General features: G+C 38.5%; 1 long non-coding RNA gene and 1 pseudogene across 1 annotated transcript in view; both read right to left on the reverse strand.

Moving 5' to 3' along the window:
- PTPN11P1 (PTPN11 pseudogene 1) lies at nucleotides 1,208-3,059 on the reverse strand (annotated as a pseudogene).
- LINC00882 (long intergenic non-protein coding RNA 882) overlaps nucleotides 5,684-22,020 on the reverse strand; it is a 130,849-nt gene continuing 114,512 nt past the window's right edge. The window contains exons 3-4 of the long non-coding RNA NR_028303.1: nucleotides 7,954-8,040; nucleotides 5,684-5,898 (exon numbers count right to left, since the gene is read on the reverse strand). This is a non-coding gene — a long non-coding RNA (long intergenic non-protein coding RNA 882). The remainder of the gene's footprint in view (nucleotides 5,899-7,953; nucleotides 8,041-22,020) is intronic.

Below are 22,020 nucleotides of genomic sequence, written 5' to 3' on the forward strand. Positions count from 1 at the left end.
AAAACACTGGTCATTCATAGGTGCCTTTTTTCTAAGTACAAGACAATTACTCAAATGCAAAGAAAATATGGTAAATGTTTTCCCACCACAACCTTCTCAGTCAACAGCTGAACTGTAATTGGTCATCGGCTGAAAAAAAAAAAAAAAGCCACACCTCTTATCTTAATTCATAAATATCCATGATTCTTTTTCTATGACTCCTTAATGCTAATGCAAAGGTAGACCAGTAAGCTTCTGGCAGTCTCAGGCACTGGCTTAATTCTCATTTAGCCAAAAGTAGAAGCCATCAAAATGAATTATCCACTACTGGATACATGATGGTAGATGAGATTGTTCTCACTTTTCTAGGATGTTGTTACTTAATTTTCCCAAATCATTTCTTCTTACCTTGCCCCACAATGAAAAAAAAATTAAACTGGTTAAGGTTATAAAAAGAAAAAAAAAAAACAACAAAAACCTATAACTAGAATTTGAATCCTCATAATCTGCAAAATATAGCACACAATTTAACTGCTTCCTCAATTTAAAACAAAATTCTATAAAATACAACGTTGTCTACATTGTAGAGATGATTTCTTCTTATCTGAGGAAATGAGTAATTGGGAAGCAGGTATTGTTGAGTTAAAATACAGTGGTTTTTAAATGATTTCAAATTTTGCTTATCAAAAGGTAGTCAACCACAACACAAGCCTTCCAAATCCAAATTCTGTCTTCACATAAACTTTATTGCGTCTGCTCTTGATCTTTTTAGGGAGAGGGTGAAAGTCCACATCTATTTCTGTGCTGAAGTTTTGGCAGGTTTTCTCATCTTAAATGTTTCTGCTGTTGCATCAGGCCCACGTTTTCATAGACTCTGGCACTCTCTTCTCTCATTTCTGCACAGGGTGGCATTGGAGTATAAGGCAGGAGGGGGCTCTGATCCCCACTCGTCTGGTCCACTAGAGAATACTTAATATTTGTATATTCGTGCCCTTTCCTCTTGCTTTTCTGCTCTTCCTCAATCCTGCGCTGTAGTGTTTCAATATGATGCTGGACCACCGTATAGATAAATCGGTACTGTGCTTCTGTCTGGACCATCTCTGACCTCTGAGACCGCACCATCTGGATGGTTTTGGGAACGTCAATTTCGCAGTCAACACCTTTCTCTCTGATGATGTCAATAAGAATATCAATCACAATGAACGTCCCTGTCTGGCCAATGCCAGCACTGCAGGGCACCACGACCAGCCCTGCATCCATGATGCTCTCCTGCTTATGGTGCACTTCGTCCAGGAAGTGCAGCATGCCTTTGGGGTCGCAGGGCACTCCGTGGTACAGCCAGGTCCACAAGTGGTATTGCCAGACCATTCTCTCCATATTCCCTTGTCCAATCTTTGAAAGTTTAAGTTTTCTTAGCTTATAGTCATGAGTGGTGCTTTCTTTGACGTTCCTAACATGCACGATGCCATATTCTTTTAGAGCATACTCATCGGGCCAGTATTTGACACATTTACTCTTTCCTCTCTCCACTTCTTTCGTTGTCATGACAATCACCTGGGAGTTTTCTTGGAACACTATCCGCCAAAAGTCATTCACAGTGTTTTGCAGGCAGCCTTGTGGGGCAATGTAACTCTTTTTGGGCTACAAATTGTTGCACTTGGTTTCAAATTCAGGCATGATGATATCTGCGTTGATGTAATCTGAAACAGCCTCACTGGGATCACCATTGTGTAGGACAACCCTATGATCAAAGGGCAGGATGTTTTGTTTTTATATCTTTTTTTTTTTTTTTTTTTTGAGACGGAGTCTCGCTCAGTCGCCCAGCCTGGAGTGCAGTGGTGATCTTGGCTCACTGCAACCTCTGACTCTCGGGTTCACGCCATTCTCCTGCCTCAGCCTCCCTAGTAGCTGGGATTACAGGGGTGTGCCACCACGCCCGGCTAATTTTTGTATTTTTAGTAGAGAGGGGGTTTCACCGTGTTGGCCAGGGTGGTCTCGATCTCCTGACCTTGTGATCTGCCCGCCTTGGCCTCCCAAAGTGCTGGGATTACAAGGCGTGAGCTACCGCGCCCGGCCTTTATATCTATTTTTGGTTTTGTTTTCTTGCCTTCGACCCTCTTTTTGGCTGTAGAGAAGTTTGCACTCCTGTTGTTGCAGTGTCTCAAATTCTTCCCAAAAGCCTTGTCTGACTTTATCTGTGGTCTCAGCTAATTTGCTTAGTTCTCGAACTCTGCTTTCTATTTCAGCAGCATTTGTACAAGTCGTGTTAAGGGGCTGCTTGAGTTGTAGTACTGTACCCAGTGTTTCCACCATAGGATTCTTCTTCTAATGTTCCAAAGATCTGTCAAAGCATCAAACCGTTCTCCTCCACCAACATCGTATTTCAGTTCCTGACAGTGAATCATGACATGAGTCACTTTAGACTTGCCGTCATTGCTCTCTCCTTTGTCATCACCGGTGCACACGGAGAGAACAAAATCTCCAGGGTGGCTCTGGCTCTCTCGTACAAGAAAGCTACTATGCTTTCCTTTTTCAGTTAACAATTTCTCTGCTTCTTTTCCAGAGAGGTGTCCATGAAACCACCTTTGAGAAGTAGGATCTGCACAGTTCAGAGGATTTTTAAGCTCAATAACATCTCCATTCTTCTCTTTTAATTGCCCATGATGTTCCATGTAATACTGGACCAACTCAGCCAAAGTGGCAAACTTCTCCCCTCCATACAGGTCATAGCAATCACCAGTGTTCTGAATCTTGGTGTGGGTGACAGCTCCATTTCTTCTAACAGAAAGTGTGACGTCTCCAGGGTTACTTTTACTAGGCCTTGCCGAAAAACTGCCATCAACTCCTCTTGTCAACAGTAGGTTTTCTGCCTCCACACCAGTGATATTTGGGTGAAACCATTTCCATGATGTCATGTTCCTCCTGCCCTCTGGCTCCGCGATGGACCTGCTTCTTGCTCAGGGTCTGCTGGGCTCAGTCACATCGGGCTGGCCCAAGGGAGGCCTGCTCAGGACTGGCCGTGGGGCAGAGCCAGCTGGCCATGCACGGACCCCACTCCAGGCCTGGGGATCCTGGAGACTGTGCAGCTGCCCCCCGGCCCGGCTAGCTCCTCCTCCACCCCCCAATGATCACTTCTTTATATCCATGTTTTCAGTACAATTCACAAATAATATTTGTTCCCTTTTTACAAATGGCAAAATTCAAAATTTCAACATAGTCTTTCCCAACTGCATTTCTGTGGCAGTTGTTTTCTTCCAAAACACCCTAGGAAATCTTAGCTGCAAATGCTTATTACCTAGGAAAGTTTCTCTCAGCTATGCATTATCTATATTGTGAGGCTGTGTTTTTCTTTTCTGTTGTACTACATCCCATATCCACCACAATCTGTGTCAGTGGAAAGATTTTTATTCCACTCTTGCTTTGGTAGAATTATCAGGTTGCATTCATACAGAACAAAAAATATTTTCTCTCCTTGATCAGTTAAAATCTCTATCAAATATTATATTTACTAAGATTAAATAATCAACAGAAGTAATTACCTAGGAGTTTTCCCTTTAGCTATTTCATTCACTTTTTCCTGGGATACTGAGGCCATGGAAATAACCAATATTTTTGTGGTGAAAAACAGGGAAGGCTCCTTCTAGCAGTCCAAATCAATCATACCAAATATCTAGGTTTCCTCAATTTGCCACAATGCAAAGATCCACACAAAAGCACCTAAATCATACATGTAAATATTGACATCTATCACCCCAAATATAAAATAACTGATAGAGCTCTTAGCCTAATTATCTTCTAGTTATTGACCTAAAGCTAATAGGCAGTGGTCAGAAATTCTCAAACCTGAGTATTTTGCTGGAATTTCAGAGGAACTAATAGTTTAAGATGAATTCTTTTAATTTTGAAAGTTATCAATTTATGCCAAGAGTCACAATAGCTGTGGATGTCCAAACTCCTGGACCCATACTCTCAGGCACTCTTTAAAGCTGAACACTCTTGATATGGTTTGGCTGTGTCCCCACCCAAATCTCATCTTGAACTGTAGCTCCCATAATTCCCACGTGTTGTGGGAGGGACCTGGTGGGAGATAATTAAATCATGGAGGTGGTTCCTCCATACTGTTCTTGTGGTAGTGAATAAGCCTCACAGGATCTGATGGTTTTATAAGGGGTTTCTGCTTTCACTTGGCTCTCATTCCCTCTTGCCTGCCACCATGTAAGACATGCTTTTCACCTTCCACCGTGATTGTGAAGCCTCCCCAGCCATGTGGAACTGTGAGTCCGTTAAACCTCTTTTTTCTTAATTAATTACTCAATCTCGGGTATGTCTTTATTAGCTGCATGAAAATGGACTAATACAACTCTACCCCTTAGTACCCAAACAAAACACGCTACCAGTCAGAGGCCCATTTGATTTTTCTGTTATTTAACCTTGTCCTAGAGATAGCTTAAATTAGTTATGTCTCTGAATACCACTCCATTTCTACAACCCCTACCCCCATGTTTTCTCACTGTCCAGTCTTTCACGTTCTTCAATCATTCAACATTTATATTTTCTTTTTACAAAGTACTTGAGGTTTTATATGACTGTCAAAATCTGTCTCTGTTTGTTTGTACTGCTATAACAAAACACTAAGATTGGGTAATTTATAAATAATAAAAATTTATTTCTCATAGTTGGATGTTGGGAAGTCCAAGATCAAGGTGCAGGTAGATTCAGTGTCTGGTGAGAGCTGTGCTCTTGCCTCCAAGATGGTGCCTTCATGTTACTGCATCTTCACATGGCAAAAGGTGGGAGGGCAAAAGGGATGAATGCTGTGTACTTACAGGGCAGAAGAGACAGAAAAAGGCCAGGCAGCTTTCTGAAGTCTCCTTTATAATGGCATTAATGCCATTCATGAGGACAGAGCCCTCCTGGCCTAATTATAATAACTCCCAAAGCCCTCACCTCTTAACACCATCACCTTGGGGTTTAAGTTCCAACATATGAATTTTGGAGGGATATATATATTTAAACCATAGCAGAATCAAATGAATTGTTTTTTTAATTTACATGCTTTTGAAATGCCTTTGAACATCATTTACAAACATGGCTCAAACAGGAGATATTCTAACAGATACTGAAGAATTTCAGTAGTTCCTGATTTGGCTACTTTTAGCTCTTAAATTATCAAGCCATACAGTTTTTCCTATCAAAGAGTTTTCCTGCCAAAACAGTGTGATTCTAACTCACCCAGAATAAAGTCCTTAAGTATTAAAGGATCATTCAGTTTACATAAATACAAATAAGTGCTTAAGCAGAATACAGTAGCATAAAATGTGCAGCTTGTGGTGAAGTTTGAGGCTGATTTGCTGCATGAACACAGTTCTTTGTCCCAAATCTTTTCTGTTAATGTCAATGTCAATGTCAGTTTTGACTATAGAAGGGTCATTAAAGTGTACTGTATCAGCTAGTTTTGATGGGTAGACATGTCGGAACAGTAGTAACATATTCTACTCATCTGCCCAGCAGCTCTTTTCCTCAGAAGTCTTAAAGAGAGCAGGTTCATGAATAAAAATATATTCCAAAACTTTATCCTTTCCCAAGGGGCTAACACACCTGGCCCAAAGAAGACTAAGAATTCTATCCATGTAGATTTGTATATATTCAAGTTTCTACAGCTAAGCACAAGCCTGTTTGGAGCTTGAAGAAATCAAATAGTAAATATTTTCTGAATTGCTTTTATTGTTTTGTGTTTCTATTAAGAATTGGCACTTGAATTAGATCAGTTAATAACATATGCTAATTTTTGTCCAGTCTGATCACACCAGCATTAATAAAACTGTAAGTCAAGGTAGATATTTTCAGGCTGTAGAACACGTTGTTTCAGTCTGTCTTCAGGTCATTTCTGCATAAGATGGCAGGTGCAATCACAGCAGTCTACAATAGAAAAGAAGAACAGGAACTTGTTTTTCCTTAACAGGAAAAATCTCTTTTCTCATTTCTTCAGCTTACATAAAAATATTTTATTTCTATTTTCATAACATGTATTGCTTAATTATAAAAGCAATATCATCATCTAAGGTTTAGAAAAATACTGAGGAAATATTTTTTAAAGGAAGAAATATGATCCATGGTCCCACTACTGAAATAACGAAGGTCTTTGAAGCCAGACAGACCTGCGTTGAAATTCTGACTCTGTCTCTCATGCAGTAGATGTGTGACTTTAGGGAAATTACAGTCTTCTCTGCGTTTTATTTTCCTCACATGCAAAAATAAATTGCCACCAATTTTTATGTATTATTATTAAAGAAGCAAAACAAGCCTGATTCTTCTATGTATTAAAACCAGTTATTCTTCATTTGTATGTCTTGGCAACATAATGTAATATAATAATTCTTAGGAGAAAATGGACTCCCTAGTGCAAACCCTCATGCAACACCACTCTTTAACCCTTCAACTGTCAGTGTGGTTGATGGGAGGAGAGCAATAAATGGGGAAGACTGGCAAAAGAAGATCCTAGAAACCTTAGGCTCCAAACATTTCAGGTTCTTCTGTTCTTCAGGAGAGGATGTCCTCTTTGAAGTACCTAGTGGAAAATCACCATGACTGTAGCTCAAGTTCCATCAAAGAGACTGTTCCTTTTAGCTGGGGTAAAGCAGTTTATTTTATGGGAGCTCTAATGTGTTAAGGGACAGGTGCTCTATCCAAGGCTACAGAGGGAGCAAACCACTGTTAGGAATTTTAATGTCTAAACCCACTTGTCTAGTTTCCACTTCAAGAGACAGTCCCAACCACAGCAATTACTGCATCACCTCCGAAAAAACAGACTCTTAAAATCTATTGCACTCATTACATTTGCATGTTTAATTCCTTCCAATACACAACTGACATGGCTTCAAAGTGTTTGCCTGTGATTTTCAACTTCAAAATGATCTGAAAGTATTCACCCAGCAAATCAGTTTCTGACAGTGTGATTTTCTGGCTTGCCCAGAACAATCTCATTGTGCTCCTGTGAGTATTAAATGTGATAAGGCCCTTAAAGTGCTTAGCCAAGAGCCTAGAGTATAGTGGGAACTGAATACATAGTAAGAACTCAATCTGTATTAGGTAGGAAGTGTCTGTACTTTAACATATTGTCTTATGCACACTCATCTATTTACAAACAAAAATTCTAGTGTATATGCAATTGGTTGGTACATTGAATATACAGGTCGGTTTTCTGGGGGTTCGTCATGGTGTTTTACTTTGTTTTTACATTAGGGAAAATGGCATAGCCCTTTAAAAAGTCTTTTAAAATATTTTTAAAGTCTACCTAATAATCCATAAATGGAAAGGTAACAGTTTTTTAATAGTGTCTTTATTATTTGAAGACTTGGGTAGTTTGGGATTTTTTATATAAATAAAACTACAGTAAACATTTGTTTTAAGAATAATCTTTATTTGCAAATTTATTGCTCTATCTCTGATTATTTTCTTTCAATTTCTACATTAGTATATTTAACTTGTAAGATTTTCTAAAAACCAAACATTGCTGAAGAAAAACAAAATGCAAATGGATGTAACATATTCTTTGGAAGACTATATAACTTGTTTTCTATCAACTCAATAAATTTCCAACTGAAAAATAACTATCTCAAAATTAATTTCATTTCATGGGATAAAAGACATGCTCAATTTAATAAGATGTTTGTTCAAGCAAGATGATGACTTTATATGCCACTAATTTAAATTAGGATAAACTTTATGCAACAAAACATTGCAACTGGTATTTCTGTCTGGCATCCTAGACGATGAGATATTTTGTCAATTTATTTGGAGAAAGGGTCAGGTCAAGATAGCATTTCTCGTAAGACTGAATACTTAGTTTCTTATGCATTTATGGTATTATGCTAGCTGATAGCAGATTAAAAACTAAGCTTATAAAGTCCGCAGTTGCAAGCCTGTGTCAGCAAGCAGGCTCTAGAATCCATCTGTAACTGTGCTTCTTCTCACCCATAGATCCTCCTGCTGATCTCCATCCAGATACAACAGAAATTTGTGATCCTATCTGCCATGTGACATCTCAGCCACAGCCCCAGTCTAAAAAGGGAAAGAAAAGACTAATTTGCAGGCATTGCTTAGAAGAAAATGTTTTAAAAGCTTGTCAGAATTTAAATTATGTATTCTTTGAATAATGCCAAAGTCCATAATGCAACTATAAAAATAACCATTTATCCAGAAAAAATTTTAAGTTATGTCATATGTAACCTAAAGAATACTAATTTAATTTAAATGTTCGTGAATACAGGATAAAGACGATAATGCTGATGTAGTTGTTTGTCAGTTTGTGCTAAAATACAATTACAAAAAGAAAATAACTAAATATAATCTCTGTGAAAAATAGTTCATTGTCTTCCAAGCTCTGTGAAGACAAAGGCACCTCTACTAATTTCAAAGAGGTTTTAGATTTGGTCATAAATTAGTATGAACAGAATTTTCTATTTCATTACATTATGTTTGGCAATGTGCCAAAATAATCTAGACTGAGAGATTTCACTATAAATCAGGACAGGACACCAAAAACAGAAATAGCTCACTCAAATATACATACATTAAAATACATCAATTTTCCACCAAATATTTATTGAGAACCTACTATGTGTGCCTAACAATATGGTTGACATTAAGGTTCCAGGGAGCTTAAATATATTGTAACAGTAAATTATTTCACTATGAATATCATAAATTTGAGCACTGTAGCTTGCAGTGATACATCTGTCTAATTGGATCAGTTTTAGATGAATAGCTTTCAGATAACTTTATTTTTATGTGTGTTTTAAAATTTTTTATTTAATTGACAAATAATAATTGTACATATTCATGGGATACAAAACGATATCTTGATACATACAAGGTACAGTGATCAGAAGACTTAAATAAGCATTCTTCAGTAATTTACTAGGAAACTTAATTCAGATTATGGCCTTAATGACTACTGAAGTTATGTTTTAGAACATCTAATCTCAGCACCTTTGTCCACCTGAGGAAACTTCCAACTATTTCAAGTCTTTGACCATGATTATGGTCAAGGAGAATTTCAAGGGGATAAATGTAAAACAAAACAAAAGGGGACTTTTGATACCATTTTTAAAAATGAACTTATCAGAAGCAATTTGTAATTTGTGAAGGCAGTGGCTAAGTTTATTTAGAGACTACAAAGCAGATTAAGCAAAATTTTCCTTTTTGCAAAAATCAGGATTTTTCATTACCTGGCTTATAGTCACACATCACCAGAGTGTGGTACAGTACACAGAATATAGCAAAGAAGAAAACAAAGATGTGGCCCTTACTCTGAAGAAGTTTTCAATCTATTAAGACAGATGAAGTTGTAGAAAGGGCACAAGCTTGGAAAAGTAGCCAAAGAAGGGTCATTCAACTTTAAAGAATGGATAATATTCGCAGAGGCAAAAAGAGAAAGCTGAGAACAACCAGGTAAGAGAAATAGCATGAGAAGTATTTTAGGATGATGATGAACAAGGCAAGTTCAGGGATGCTGAGGGGACCAATCTGACTTAATATGGGTGTGAGGGGTGAGGGCGAGGAGGGGGCACATTTGTCAAGAGATTCCTTCATTCTGGAAGGAAAAGAGGCAGAAGGGAGTAAATGAGAATTTACGGCATGTTTGAATATATATGTGTGGGAGTGGATATACGGATGGGTAATCTGAACTTAAGGCTCCTACTCCACAGACTGTCACATGAATAATGATATCCTCAATGGTATTTCAAAGCACAATATTCAAGCTCCTACTGTCATGCAATATTTTTTCCACAAAATTTGTTGAGCCACCTGAATGTTTATTAAATACTGACATGGACAAGCTTATAACCAAACTAAACAAGTCCAGTATCTTCCTTCCAGACAGCCCGCCCCATACTACCATTCTGTAATATCCCAGAATCCTAGCATCTAAGACCAACAGTCTGTGCCTCTTATCTCTGGAGACAGAATTCAGATGTCTTATTTAAAGCTAGAAGGTGTCACAGTCCCTATCAGAAACCTGTTCATCCTATTGAGGGGCTGTCCACTGTCAGTACTACCAAAACTTGAAGTATCAGTTCACAACTGAAATCTGGACTTACCAATAATGTCATCTTTTCATCACTCTGCCCCTCATCCCATCAAAAACCTCCACCATGCAGTCAGGAGACCACCCCTCTGCCTCTATCCCAGAGCTATACTGAAACAAGGGTGTCAAATTGCACTAGAATTTTTAGGGTTTACTTAAATAGCTTCTTCTCAGGCTTCAAGCCTGCCAGTTACTTGCCTGGGTTGGGGCAGATTTTATTGACTGTCAGTTTATAAACTTCAACCCACTCTACACCTCTGACCACTGGATGAGGCACAGGGCAATCCCACTCCTCAACTGTTATTTTTAACTACATTGTAACTTCAGAAGATTTGTTGACTTCCCTGAAACCAGGAATTGCCCACAATCCCATGTCTACTCTGGCAGTATCAACAATATTTAATTTCAGAGATAAGAGTTTACAGTTTTGATTTTTCCTCTCCACTTCTTCATAGCCACCAAAGGGACCTGAGCTCCTCGTGGAAAGTTACCCACTCTTTTCCACGTGCCCTTCAGTACCACATCTCAACACTTTCATTTTTAAAAACTAAATTCCACCGGGTGCGGTGACTCACACCTGTAATCCCAGCACTTTGGGAGGCCGAGGCAGGCGGATCACGAGGTCAGGAGATCAAGACCATCCTGGCTAACACGGTGGAACTCCATCTCTATGAAAAATAAAAAAAAATTAGCTGGGCGTGGTGGTGGGCGCAGGAGAATCGCTTGAACCCAGGAGGCAGAGGTTGCAGTGGGCCAAGACCGCGCCACTGCACTCCAGCCTGGGTGACAGTGCGAGACTCCATCTCAAAAAATAATAATAATAATTAAATTAAATTCCACATTCCCAGATACTTGTCATAGATTAGGAAGAGATCATTTCAACTAGTACCTAGAAAGGAAGAGAAAAGAGAGACAGGCACAGAGACTATTGAAGTCTTAGACTATTATTACATTGGTTCTCTTCTACCATGTTAACTGTGTTTCAACAAGTAGGTTTAAGGCTAAATGCAGCTAATTTAGTGATTATAAAAATAATCTACAATTGACTGGAGCAATAACATGGTGAATAAAAACATTTATTGTAGCTTCATTAAAAACTGGCATTTATCTCTCAAGTTTTTCCAAATGGTGTTTGAATAGAAATGATATATTTTTAAGTAATTTATTCCTCAAGTTTAATATGTGGATTTTTATGATGATAAAGCATTATAAAATGTTAAGTAGTTATTTGCTAATCTTCTCAGGGCTGTCACATGAATAATGGTATCCTCAATGGCATTTCAAAGCACAATATTCAAGCTCCTACTGTCATTCAATAATGTCACTTCTCAGGCTGTGACAAATTAAGAAATATGATGCAAATATGTTTTCCAAGATTAAAACAAAAGAATGCAATTGAAAGAGTGTAGGAAAATTGGCATGTCTTCATGTCTTAAACAGAATCATAATACTGTCTGCTCAAAATCCAAAATAAAGATAAAAATGGAAATTTAGAATGGTACACTAAGATATTCAATATAAGTTGAATGTAACAGCCTACAAGTCACCAAGACTTCACCAATTCTACGACATCTAAACATCTAAGCTTAATATCAAAATAGCAAGTGACTTAATATTCAGAAAGGAACAGGCACATTTAGGCCACTTTAGTCCCTTCAGTACAAACTGAATACAGCTGTGGATAAAGAGTCTCAATTGTTTCCAGTTTCTGAGAACACATTAGGCCACTTAATATAACATCCTGGTATATTATTTGCTTTTTTTATTAGCCAAACAAGATAGACTGATTGATTGAGTCACTCACAGGTATTCATTCCTTCAACAAATATTTATTAAAGGATTATCATGTCAGACACCAGGCTAGAGGATTTTCCCACATCACTTAATTGAAATTCAACAAGTATTCTGTTATAATGAGGATTCAATGAGTTAATATTTGTACAGTGTTTAAAACAGTGTGTGGCACATAGTAAGTGCTATATGAATGTTTGTTAAATAAATTATGTTGAAGAGTCGGTTGTAATATGATCTTTGTACAAGATTTTGATTGTTCTATTTCTTGTCTCTTAAAAGTTTCTTTCTTTTTTTTTTTTTTTTTTTTTTGGAGACGAAGTCTCGTTCTGTTGCCCAGGTTGGAGTGCAGTGGCACAATCTCAGCTCACTGCAAGCTCCGCCTCCCAGGTTCACTCAATTCTCCTGCCTCGGCCTCCTGAGTAGCTGGTACCACAGGCGCCCGCCACCACGCCCGGTTAATTTGCGTGTGTGTGTGTGTGTGTGTGTGTTTAGTAGAGATGGGGTATCCCTGTGTTAGCCAGCATGGTCTTGCTCTCCTGACCTCGTGATCCGCCCGCCTTGGCCCCCCAAAGTGCTCGGATTACAGGCGCGAGCCACCGCGCCCTGCCAAAGGTTTCTATAGGCATAAAAGAACAGCAGGGTCCTAAGATACCAGCCAGGAAGCCAGGCACAGGAAACAACTAAGTCAATATATGCCCATATAAAAATCACCTGATGGTAAATTTCTCTGGAAAAATTCTATAGGACTGACATAATAGTTTTTATATCACTTTTAAAATTTTTTTTATTTTTTTTGAGACAGAGTCTAGTAATCTCACCCAGGCTGGAATGCAGTAGTATGATCTTGGCTCACTGCAACCTCCACCTCCTGGGTTCAAGCAGTTCTGGTGCCTCAGCCTCCCAAGTAGCTGGGATTACAGACGCACACAACCGCGCCCGGCTAATTTTTTGTATTTTAGTAGAGACTGGGTTTCACCATTTTGCCCAGGCTGGTCTTGAACTCCTGAGCTCAGACAATCCACCCACCTCGGCCTCCCAAAGTGCTAGAATTCCAGGCATGAGCCACCCTGCCTGACCTAAAATATTTATTTAGCATGTACTTATGAAGTAGTATACACCAGGTTCTATTCTAACTGCTTTACATATAATAACTCATCTAATTCTCAGGCTAACTCTATGATACTAGCATTACTCCACTTTATGGATGAGGAAACTGAGGCACACAGAAGCTCACTAACTTGCCAAAGTCATATAGATAATAAGTGGTAGGGCCTACATTCCTACCCAAGTACCCAAGTAGTCTGGCTCCGGAGCTCAAGTTCGTAAACACTAAGTGAACATGTCGGCATATGAAGGGGTCAGCATTTATAAGAACCCTCACAGCCTCTGTCTCCCTGAGTCAGCATTGTTCTGTGTGCATCAACTGACTTGTCGTGTAACCCCATGATCACAGATTTTACTTTATGAAAAGAGATGGTCAAAGGACACTTTTGAAATATTCCTAAACCATACAAAAAGTCTAAAAGGAAAACTGAGGTGACAGATTATAGTTCAGGACTTAAATCAGTTTCAAATTTGACATGATCATAATTAATCACTTTTGTGTTCACACGTATTTTGCAAGAAGACTTAGAATCCATCATGTACTGACAAAGAATGAAGTAAGCGTACCTAGACCCTCCTCAATTGAATAGAGGACATTCCAACTCCTTTGCCCTGGCCCCTGCCCACTGCCCTAAATTAATTCACTATAAATAAGGACATCTAAGCAAACTACAGATCACAAGGAGTAGTAACTACCAACAAACATGAAACACTACTTTTCCATACTAGATAAATTGCAACAATTGTGGTAGAATAGCTTTGAAAGTTGTATTGAATTTAGAAATCTGGCTTTAGGAAGTACAGCAGAGGAAGCCAACTTTTCTGAAATAGCCAATAATGCAGAAACACTTTAAATGGTATTGAATGCTCCCCAGTTTCCTGAGGACCAAATAGATATTTCAGCAATTTATCAAGAACAATTAATCCTAGAAAATTGCCAATAATTCCTCTGTCTCAGAAAGAACGACCCATCTGCATTCTCGCCTTCCAAGAGCATGGCAGAGTTTGTTTCTCAGTTCTTCCCACAATTCAACTCTGATAAGTGAAATAAGGAAGGAGCTAAAAAGCGTGAAGAAATTTTTCTAAAATGTTTACAACCACAGAACCTGCCAACTGCTGCTTCCCCATTAGCTGAGTATGTTTTGGGCCACTGAAGCTCGGGTGTCAGCTCCTGGCTTGACGACGATTCCGTAAACAAAGAGACTTCAATATGTTTTATGCCCAAAATGCTCAAAACAGACACAGAGGCTCACAGGCCTGATGCCTGAGCCTCCCGCAAATGCTCAGCCAAACCACTCTATCAATCACGATTATTTGGTGCCCCCCTCTGGCCTTACTGCAGCAATTTCATTTAGCTTTCCTAAGAAACTGAAAAGAATTCTGAACGAAAGTCCAGGGTGCAATCACAAAAATCTGCCTGCAAGAGAAACCTAGTTTTGTCTGCACTTATAATAATTACTCCAATTCTCAATGGCAGAGGAAAATTTGGCAGGGCTGACTGCATGTTAAAAGCATGGTGATAAGAATGTTATATCACCATAACGTTCTTAAGGTGATATAATTTTGCTTTATGTATTTTTAAACATCCCCCAAGGAGATAGAGAGCTCTATCAGTTCCTCACAGTTAAGATAACTAGGCTACCTGGGCTCTGCTCAGAAGAATAAGTCAATTTACTCTGGAGAAATAATTCTGTGAAACTCAGACAGAGTTAGAACATCATGCAGTTGAAAACTGTATCAAAAACTCAGGCTAAACAATATTACTTATTAAGGTCATATAATACATATACGAGTTATTCACTAGCTCTTACCCAAGTTCCCTGGGTAAGCAAACTACAGAGACAAGAGTTTGTGTCCAGTTCCAGAGAGCTTCCAGGCTCCCAAAATGAATTTTGTCTCCAAATCCAAGGCCTCCTTCACTGTGCGCTTCCCCCTCACTGGCTCCCCCGACCCCCTACCCCCAACCCCCACCGGGACTGAGGTGACCATGCTCCTTCTGTTGGGTCAACATTGTCTGATCTGTTTTGGGGACAGCACATACAAGACTTTCCAGCCATGTTATGAAAGGGCTAGGCAAGGGGACGAGGCACCTCACACCCACATTACTGAGAGCGAGTGGAGTAGTACAAGTGGCAGAGATAGGCCCTATGGGGTTTCCAGAGCAGCTCTGAGGGTGCTAGATCCTAACAGGGCAAGATGACAAGGGGAAGTCAAGCTGTGAAGGCAAGAGGGAGAGGAGCCAAGGAGGTTCCTGTGGGTCAGAGGAAAGTGACTGTGGAGGAAGTCTTTGTCCAGGGCTTTGGGTGTTGGCGTCAGCTCCTCACGCAGCAGGTATAAGACAGACGGAAGGCACATAGGAACATTCGTAACTCTTCTAACTCTTCTAACATCCCTAACTCTTCCTTTCTTGCCCCTTTCTTCAGAGTTTGGAAACTCAGAGACCTCCAGGATTGGAACATGCAACTGATTCTTATTTGAAAGTGGTGAAAAACAAAACTGAAAAAGTCGGTGAGGAAAAAAGATCAACTAAAATTCAGCTTTGGGATAAGGACGAATTTAGCACCTTTTCTGGAAATCTCTGAAGCAATTACATTTGTACCCAGTAAATATTCTCATTTGGAAAAAAAAAACTGCTCAAGAAAGAGAGTAATAAAAATAACCACAATGAGGGCTCTCATTAATACTGGATCTTATGGAAACCAATTGTTCAGTCCCTCAACAAAAGACCAGATGGGCAGGAAGCTAAATATACACCATGCACTAAACATTATGAGTATCATAGTTTACAAGTCAAAGGGGGCTCTATTGAAGATAGTTCTATTTTCCCTCTATATTATCTGCTAGACAATACCTGATAACATTATCCAAGTAAATGACAACTTGATAAATAGTAATTTCCAATGGTGAACAGAGGTGACATTTCCTCATTACAAAAATATTTTCTTTGGCAGATGAGATTAACTGAATAAGAAATCCACTGACACTGAAATCACAGAGCCAAATTCCCTATCACAGCACTTATCACATTGCGTTAGGGTTGTTTGTTAAATATCTTTACTTACTTTCCTATACGCTATAATATTTGCTTTTTTCTCCCCAGTGCTTTACAAGGGGCTTGACATACAACAGGCACTCAAATAATGTTTTTTTTTTAAATTTCAATTGAATGTCCCTTTTAAGGGCATTTGCTCACTGATTTAATAAGGGAACAGTAGCCTGAAAGTACAGGTTCTGATCTTTCACAGGTAGGTAAATTTTTTAAATGAATGAGGGTCTGATCTGAAAAATACTGAGGAATTTTACATCAAATGTTTTAGCGCTGTTTCATAAGAAGATAGGAATTCTGGCTCAAGTGGGTGGTTATCAGTTTCTAATCAGTGATCCCATTTTAGCACCCTCAAAGAGGAACAAAATAAATTACCTTCTATTTGTGAAATGAAAAAGTAAAAATGTAAAGCAATTTAAACTGAGAATACCTATATAAAGGAAAAAAATTGTGAGGCTCAATCTTAGGTTTTAAAAAGGATTTCAAAACAGCTTTCCAATACTTCTAAGACTCCCATGAAAAAGATGAGATTAGAATATGAAGTAACAATTTCCTCCAAAGTATACACATGAAAGTTGGCACAGAAACACCGTTTATTTGGGCAATGACTGAAACAGTTGGCCCATTTAATCAGACAAGTGGTTTGAGTTCATCTTGTTTCCACCTGCACAGAAGTACAGCACAACAGGACAGACAAGCCCCCAGCAGGGAGGTCGAAAGAATGCTTTACCCTATCTGATTCAGTGATCCTCTTCTGACGTTATGTCCATACTGAAGGGGATAATAATGCATCAGATGATTTCAGGTAACTTATCTCCTCCCCTCCTTCTTACCTAGCAAGTAACATAACTCACCTGTCTCACGTGCAGAGGAGAAGCACAGCCTTGAATCACAAGTAGGTCTGGGAGCAGCCCTAGCAATGCCTCTTGGGGCAAGCTTGTCCCATTCAATAAGCACATCTTTCCAAAAGACCAACAGCCCCTCAATGCAGAGACCAGAAATTCCAACAGCATTCTCCTATCTAAGACATATGCCTACAGGAGCACAGATATTTTTAGGAATAATAACAACTATAAAATCATGTTTGATTTGATTCTATTTTTTGGCTTCCTGCATACATATTTGGTATGATCCTTGTACCAAATCAACCATTGTACCATCTGTAGCAGAAAAAGACATATGCAAGACTGATGACTTCCTTATCCCACTGCCCTCCCTACGCTAAAATTAATAAGAAGAGAAGAAACGTTAAGTCATTAAAATTCTTCATGCAAGCACGGCCTCTCCCTGCTCCCCACTTCACACACTTTATCATCTGTGAATGACTATGGACTTACAAGTTTCCAATCTGACTTCCTCGGGAGATCCAATGAGTCTGTCTATATATGGCATGGAAGCTTGCCCCTCTCTTTAGACATTTTATGCAGTTCTGAGGATGCAACAAATCTCATTTGGGAGCTGCACACCATCACCCACATATTAAATTGTCACCCGGAGTAATAAAATTCACAAACTCCATTTCATTTTTTTATCACCATGTTGCCTGATAATATAAAAAGGTGTCATATACCTTTGATTTGTAGCTTGTGTGTTTGTGAAATAGCCCCTCCACAAACAACCTGATGAAGTCAAGGAAGCTGAATGACTTTTTTTTTTAATGCCCAAGTCTATTTCCCTGTAAATATTCATGTGCATAAACATAAAAGTGTTAAATGGTGTGAAATCTTGGTAATTGCACAAGTAGGAAAAAGTCATAGCATGATTGTTCTGAGTGAGGTAGAAATTTCTAGACTCACTGCCTGTATCAAAAGCAGTGACCCCAAATTACATAGGCACGTATGGCATTTCTAGACCTTCAAATTACTGACTAAGATATCAAAAAATGCCACATTGGTCATATATAATTGAAAAATGGCTATCTGCTCTTTCACAGCTTTCCTTAATTTAGGTGTCTTTTGTGATATGCAAAACATATTTATACCTGATCCATTTTAACAACCTGTTTCCTAATGAATATGTTTGTAGTTCATTTTGACAGACACTTGGCTAACAGTCATTCTTCTGCCACTCTTATGTGGGGGGAAGAGAATACCAATCAATCACAGATGCCATTTAGATTTCTAGTAATCATGTTTCCAGAAAAATAATAGAGATTTTGGTAGTCATGTGTGTTAAGATCATCGGCTATTCTCATCATTATTCATCAACTTGATTCTCTGTGGAGTGATTTTTAACAGTTGGAGGTGTCACAGACTCTTTCAAGGATATGATGAAATACCTAGGCTTCTCCCCTAAATAAAATAATCATAAACACTACTTTTTTTCTATAATGTAAGGGATTCACAGACTTACAAAGTTGATCAACCATGGATGATTTCAGGTTAACAATCTCTGCTCTAGGATTATGATTATAATTGTCTTTAAAACATCATTATGATGGCAGTGTGAAGAACAGGCTGGGCTAGGGGAAGACAGGCTGCACGGAATGTATTTGCCATTTTCATTACAGCCAGTGAGTGGTGAGGGTGATTTTACCAGAGTGCAGGCAATAGAAAGTAAAAAAAAAAAATAGGGAACAAAATCAACAAAACCTGGAGATTGAAAGGGGGTTTTATATCTATACAGAAAGAAAAGAAAAAGACCTCACTCCTTAGTCATGTCTGACATTTCAAAAAAAAAACATGAAGTAGAAAATCAGCTCTCCAAAGTTTTAAGGCTTTTATTGGTATATTTTTATTTTGCATGAAAATAACCCTTTGATAACTAGTAAATAAAGACTATCTGCACAGAATATGCTTTTAGTGATTAGATATATTTGCAAGTTGATTTTTTCTAGAATTTCTAAAGAAGGTTAGTTTCTCATTCATCTATAGGCCGTGTTCTATAAAGGTGTTGCCTTATGTTGCCAACAACACACTCATTGCACTTAAACAGTGACTGGAAAGGACAAATTTAAAGTGTCATTGCTTTAGAAGGAATAAGTAGTAGAGTATGTTCTTCACATAACCAGTGAATGTGGCAAAGGAAAATTAGCAAACAAAAGCATAATAAATTTATTTGGAACAATAGTAGATTGAATATGTACATCTATTTCTTCTCTGTCCTGAAATTTTCCCCAAATAACAATATGAGAAATAAAATATAAAAGGTACAAGTTCCAAGGAGAAGAAAATAATATAAGACTACTGAAATTGAAAGACTTCAATAATTTTTTAAAAGATAGAAAACAGATATAGGATTAGTAACAGACTTAATATATGAAAGAAGTATGAACAGAGTGTTCTACAAAGAGGACTCCTTGAAAGACTCTGGATTTGAACTATCAAAATAGTTACTCCTATCAAAATAGTTCAAATAGGAGTAAGATGTATATGATTATAACCAGAGGCATTAATTAAAATTCTTTATGTGAAAATATTAGATCAGGCTGGGCACCATGGCCCACACCTGATGCCAGCACTTTGGGAGGCTAAGGCTGGTGGATCACTTGAAGCCAGGAGTTTGAGACAAGACTGGCCAACATGGCAAAATCCCGTCTCTACAAAAAATACAAAAATTAGTCAAAGGTAGTGGGGTGCACCTGTACTCCCAGCTACTTGGGAAGCTGAGGCATGAGAATTGCTTGAGCCTGGGAGGCAGAGGTTGCAGTGAGCCAAGATCATGCTACTGCATTCCAGCCTGGGGGACAGAGCAAGACTGTCAAAAAAAAAAAAAAAATCTATAGGCCACTCTCAACCATCCTTGCATCCTTGGCAGCTTGGTGGTTATCCCTCTCACATCTCACCCCCACCATTACTGCTTCCTTAAAGGACAGGATCTGAAGGCTTCAGATTTAGGGCACCAGGCCTAAGTAGAAGGTAGGAAGGTGGGAACATGGAGCTGACAATAGGACTGAATAAGCAGTTTCACAGTGAATAGTAGATCCAGCCTCAGCCTCCTTCCTCCTCCCTGCTTATAGAATGCTAGAGCTGGGCTTAAAGCCCCATCCCAAGATAGTATATGAGAGGATGCCTCCCTAGAATAAATCAAATAGTCCCAAAGAAAAGACACTCCAAATTTGAAGGCTTCTAATGAAAGAGCTGAGTTCCCCTGGACTACCCTGTAAATTATCAGCAAATAAGTTCCCCTGGCCTGCAGCTTCCAATCAACTTTCTATTGCTTCAATCTTCAAACATGACTGCCACAAGTGTTTTAGAGAAATTTCCAGCAGAAAAAAATTTAGAAATAGGGGAAAAAAGAAAAAATAGGAATACAAAGGAAAAAGAGGCAATGCAGGGTATAAGAAAGAATTTTTTTTAATTGGCCATTACTATTCTCTGAGAAATGAGTTTATGTCAGTAACAAAGAACAGAATACTATTTAAAAGGAATAATGAGAGACAAGAAGCCCTTGAAAATTCAAAACAGGACAGCTAAAATTTAAAACAAATCAATGAAAGGAAAAGGGAAATATTCAGTTTTGTTTCAAATATGCCTTTTTTGGTTGTGTTTGGCACCTAAGAAAAAACTAAATATCCCACCTCTATTTATCCCTAAAAGACATTTTGTATATTACAGGAAGAGATTCCCAGGTCATTAGATTATATATTCATAATTTTGGGCTTTTTAAAATGAAATTCTTAAGAGCATATGCTTGCCTTGTAACCAAGCTCATGCTCAGCTACTCACCACTTGCAAAAGCAGTAACAAGAATGAAGTGCAGTGAAAAGGAAAGTGACTTTATTTTCCAAAGCTAACAGTGGGGACGCAGCTGGCTTTTGCCTCTAGGAACCACTTCAAACTTTAGGCTGGAAAGAGGGGCTTACAAAAGGGAACTTGGAATGGGAGGCATGAGGGAGGGATGCTGAGTCCAAGGTCTGAATGTTTTGTGCTATCTCAAGCCTTGGGCCATCTGGAGCACAGGCTGGTGTCATCTCAGCACTGGCCAGGTTGATGACTAACTGCCTTGAGGTAATCTCTGGAATTTGGCAGCTGGGTCTCTATGCTTTGTCTGTTTTAAGATTAGCCCCTTGGAACTTCTAAGTAAGCACATAATTAGATACAAGCATACAGTTAGATAAATGTGCACGAGGTGAGGGAGTGTATGGCAGGAAAGGGAGGGACATGGTGTTTCAAAGAAAGTACACTCCAAGGCCATATTTTAAGACTAAGGAGAAGAAAAAAAAGGGGGGTTTGCAGTAAGCTTCAAGGTTATATCTTCGGACTGGGGGAAAACAGTTTTAAAATAGATTTTCAGGCTAGACTGTTCAGCTTTACTGCCTGGATTGTAAATTTTTGTAGGGCAGGAGTCAAAATTCCTCAGTTTACACTTAGGTTTCACAGAACCTGGTACATTTTTGGTCCTCACTAAGTGTTGTAAGAAATCCTTTTTGCAAATATTCTTAATTATTCTAAACATGTCTACATCTTTTAGGATGGAAGAAGCAGGAAATGTTCAAATAAGTTTAAACATATTACGGGGGATCTACTAAGAGAACAAGAAAAATAACCACTATTTTTGAGTTAAATAATGGTAGTAAAACAGAAGAGGAAAAATAAAAGATTGTATTTCAAAGTGAAAACAATAAAAATGTGAAAATACTAAGTTAATCAGCAAAGAGTTATGTTACTTATTGAATACAGCATGAAGATGGATGCCCTGAGTTTTTCTAATATCATACAACAAATATTTATCAATGGCTATGTGCTAATCACTGTGCTAGATGTGTTTGAGATGTAGAGATGAAAACAATAGAGCATCTCTCTTTAAAAAGCACAAAGTATAGCAAGACCAGATTAAAGTAGAATATGATAATCCCTTTTCTTAGAGGACATACAAGCACTGTATACACATTTCAGGCTAGAGAAAAAATTGGTTGGGATATGATTTTAGAAAAAATCAACTTAAGCAGAACCTTGAAGACAAGTCAAGAAGACCAGAACGAAAAAGATATTTTGAGCTGGGACGATAAACCACTGCAGTTTGCCCAGGGAATGAGGCTTTGTCTGTGATGGTGAGAATTTCAGGG

This window comes from Homo sapiens, chromosome 3, assembly GCF_000001405.40.
Source record: "Homo sapiens chromosome 3, GRCh38.p14 Primary Assembly".
Classification (NCBI taxonomy): Eukaryota; Metazoa; Chordata; class Mammalia; order Primates; family Hominidae; genus Homo; species Homo sapiens.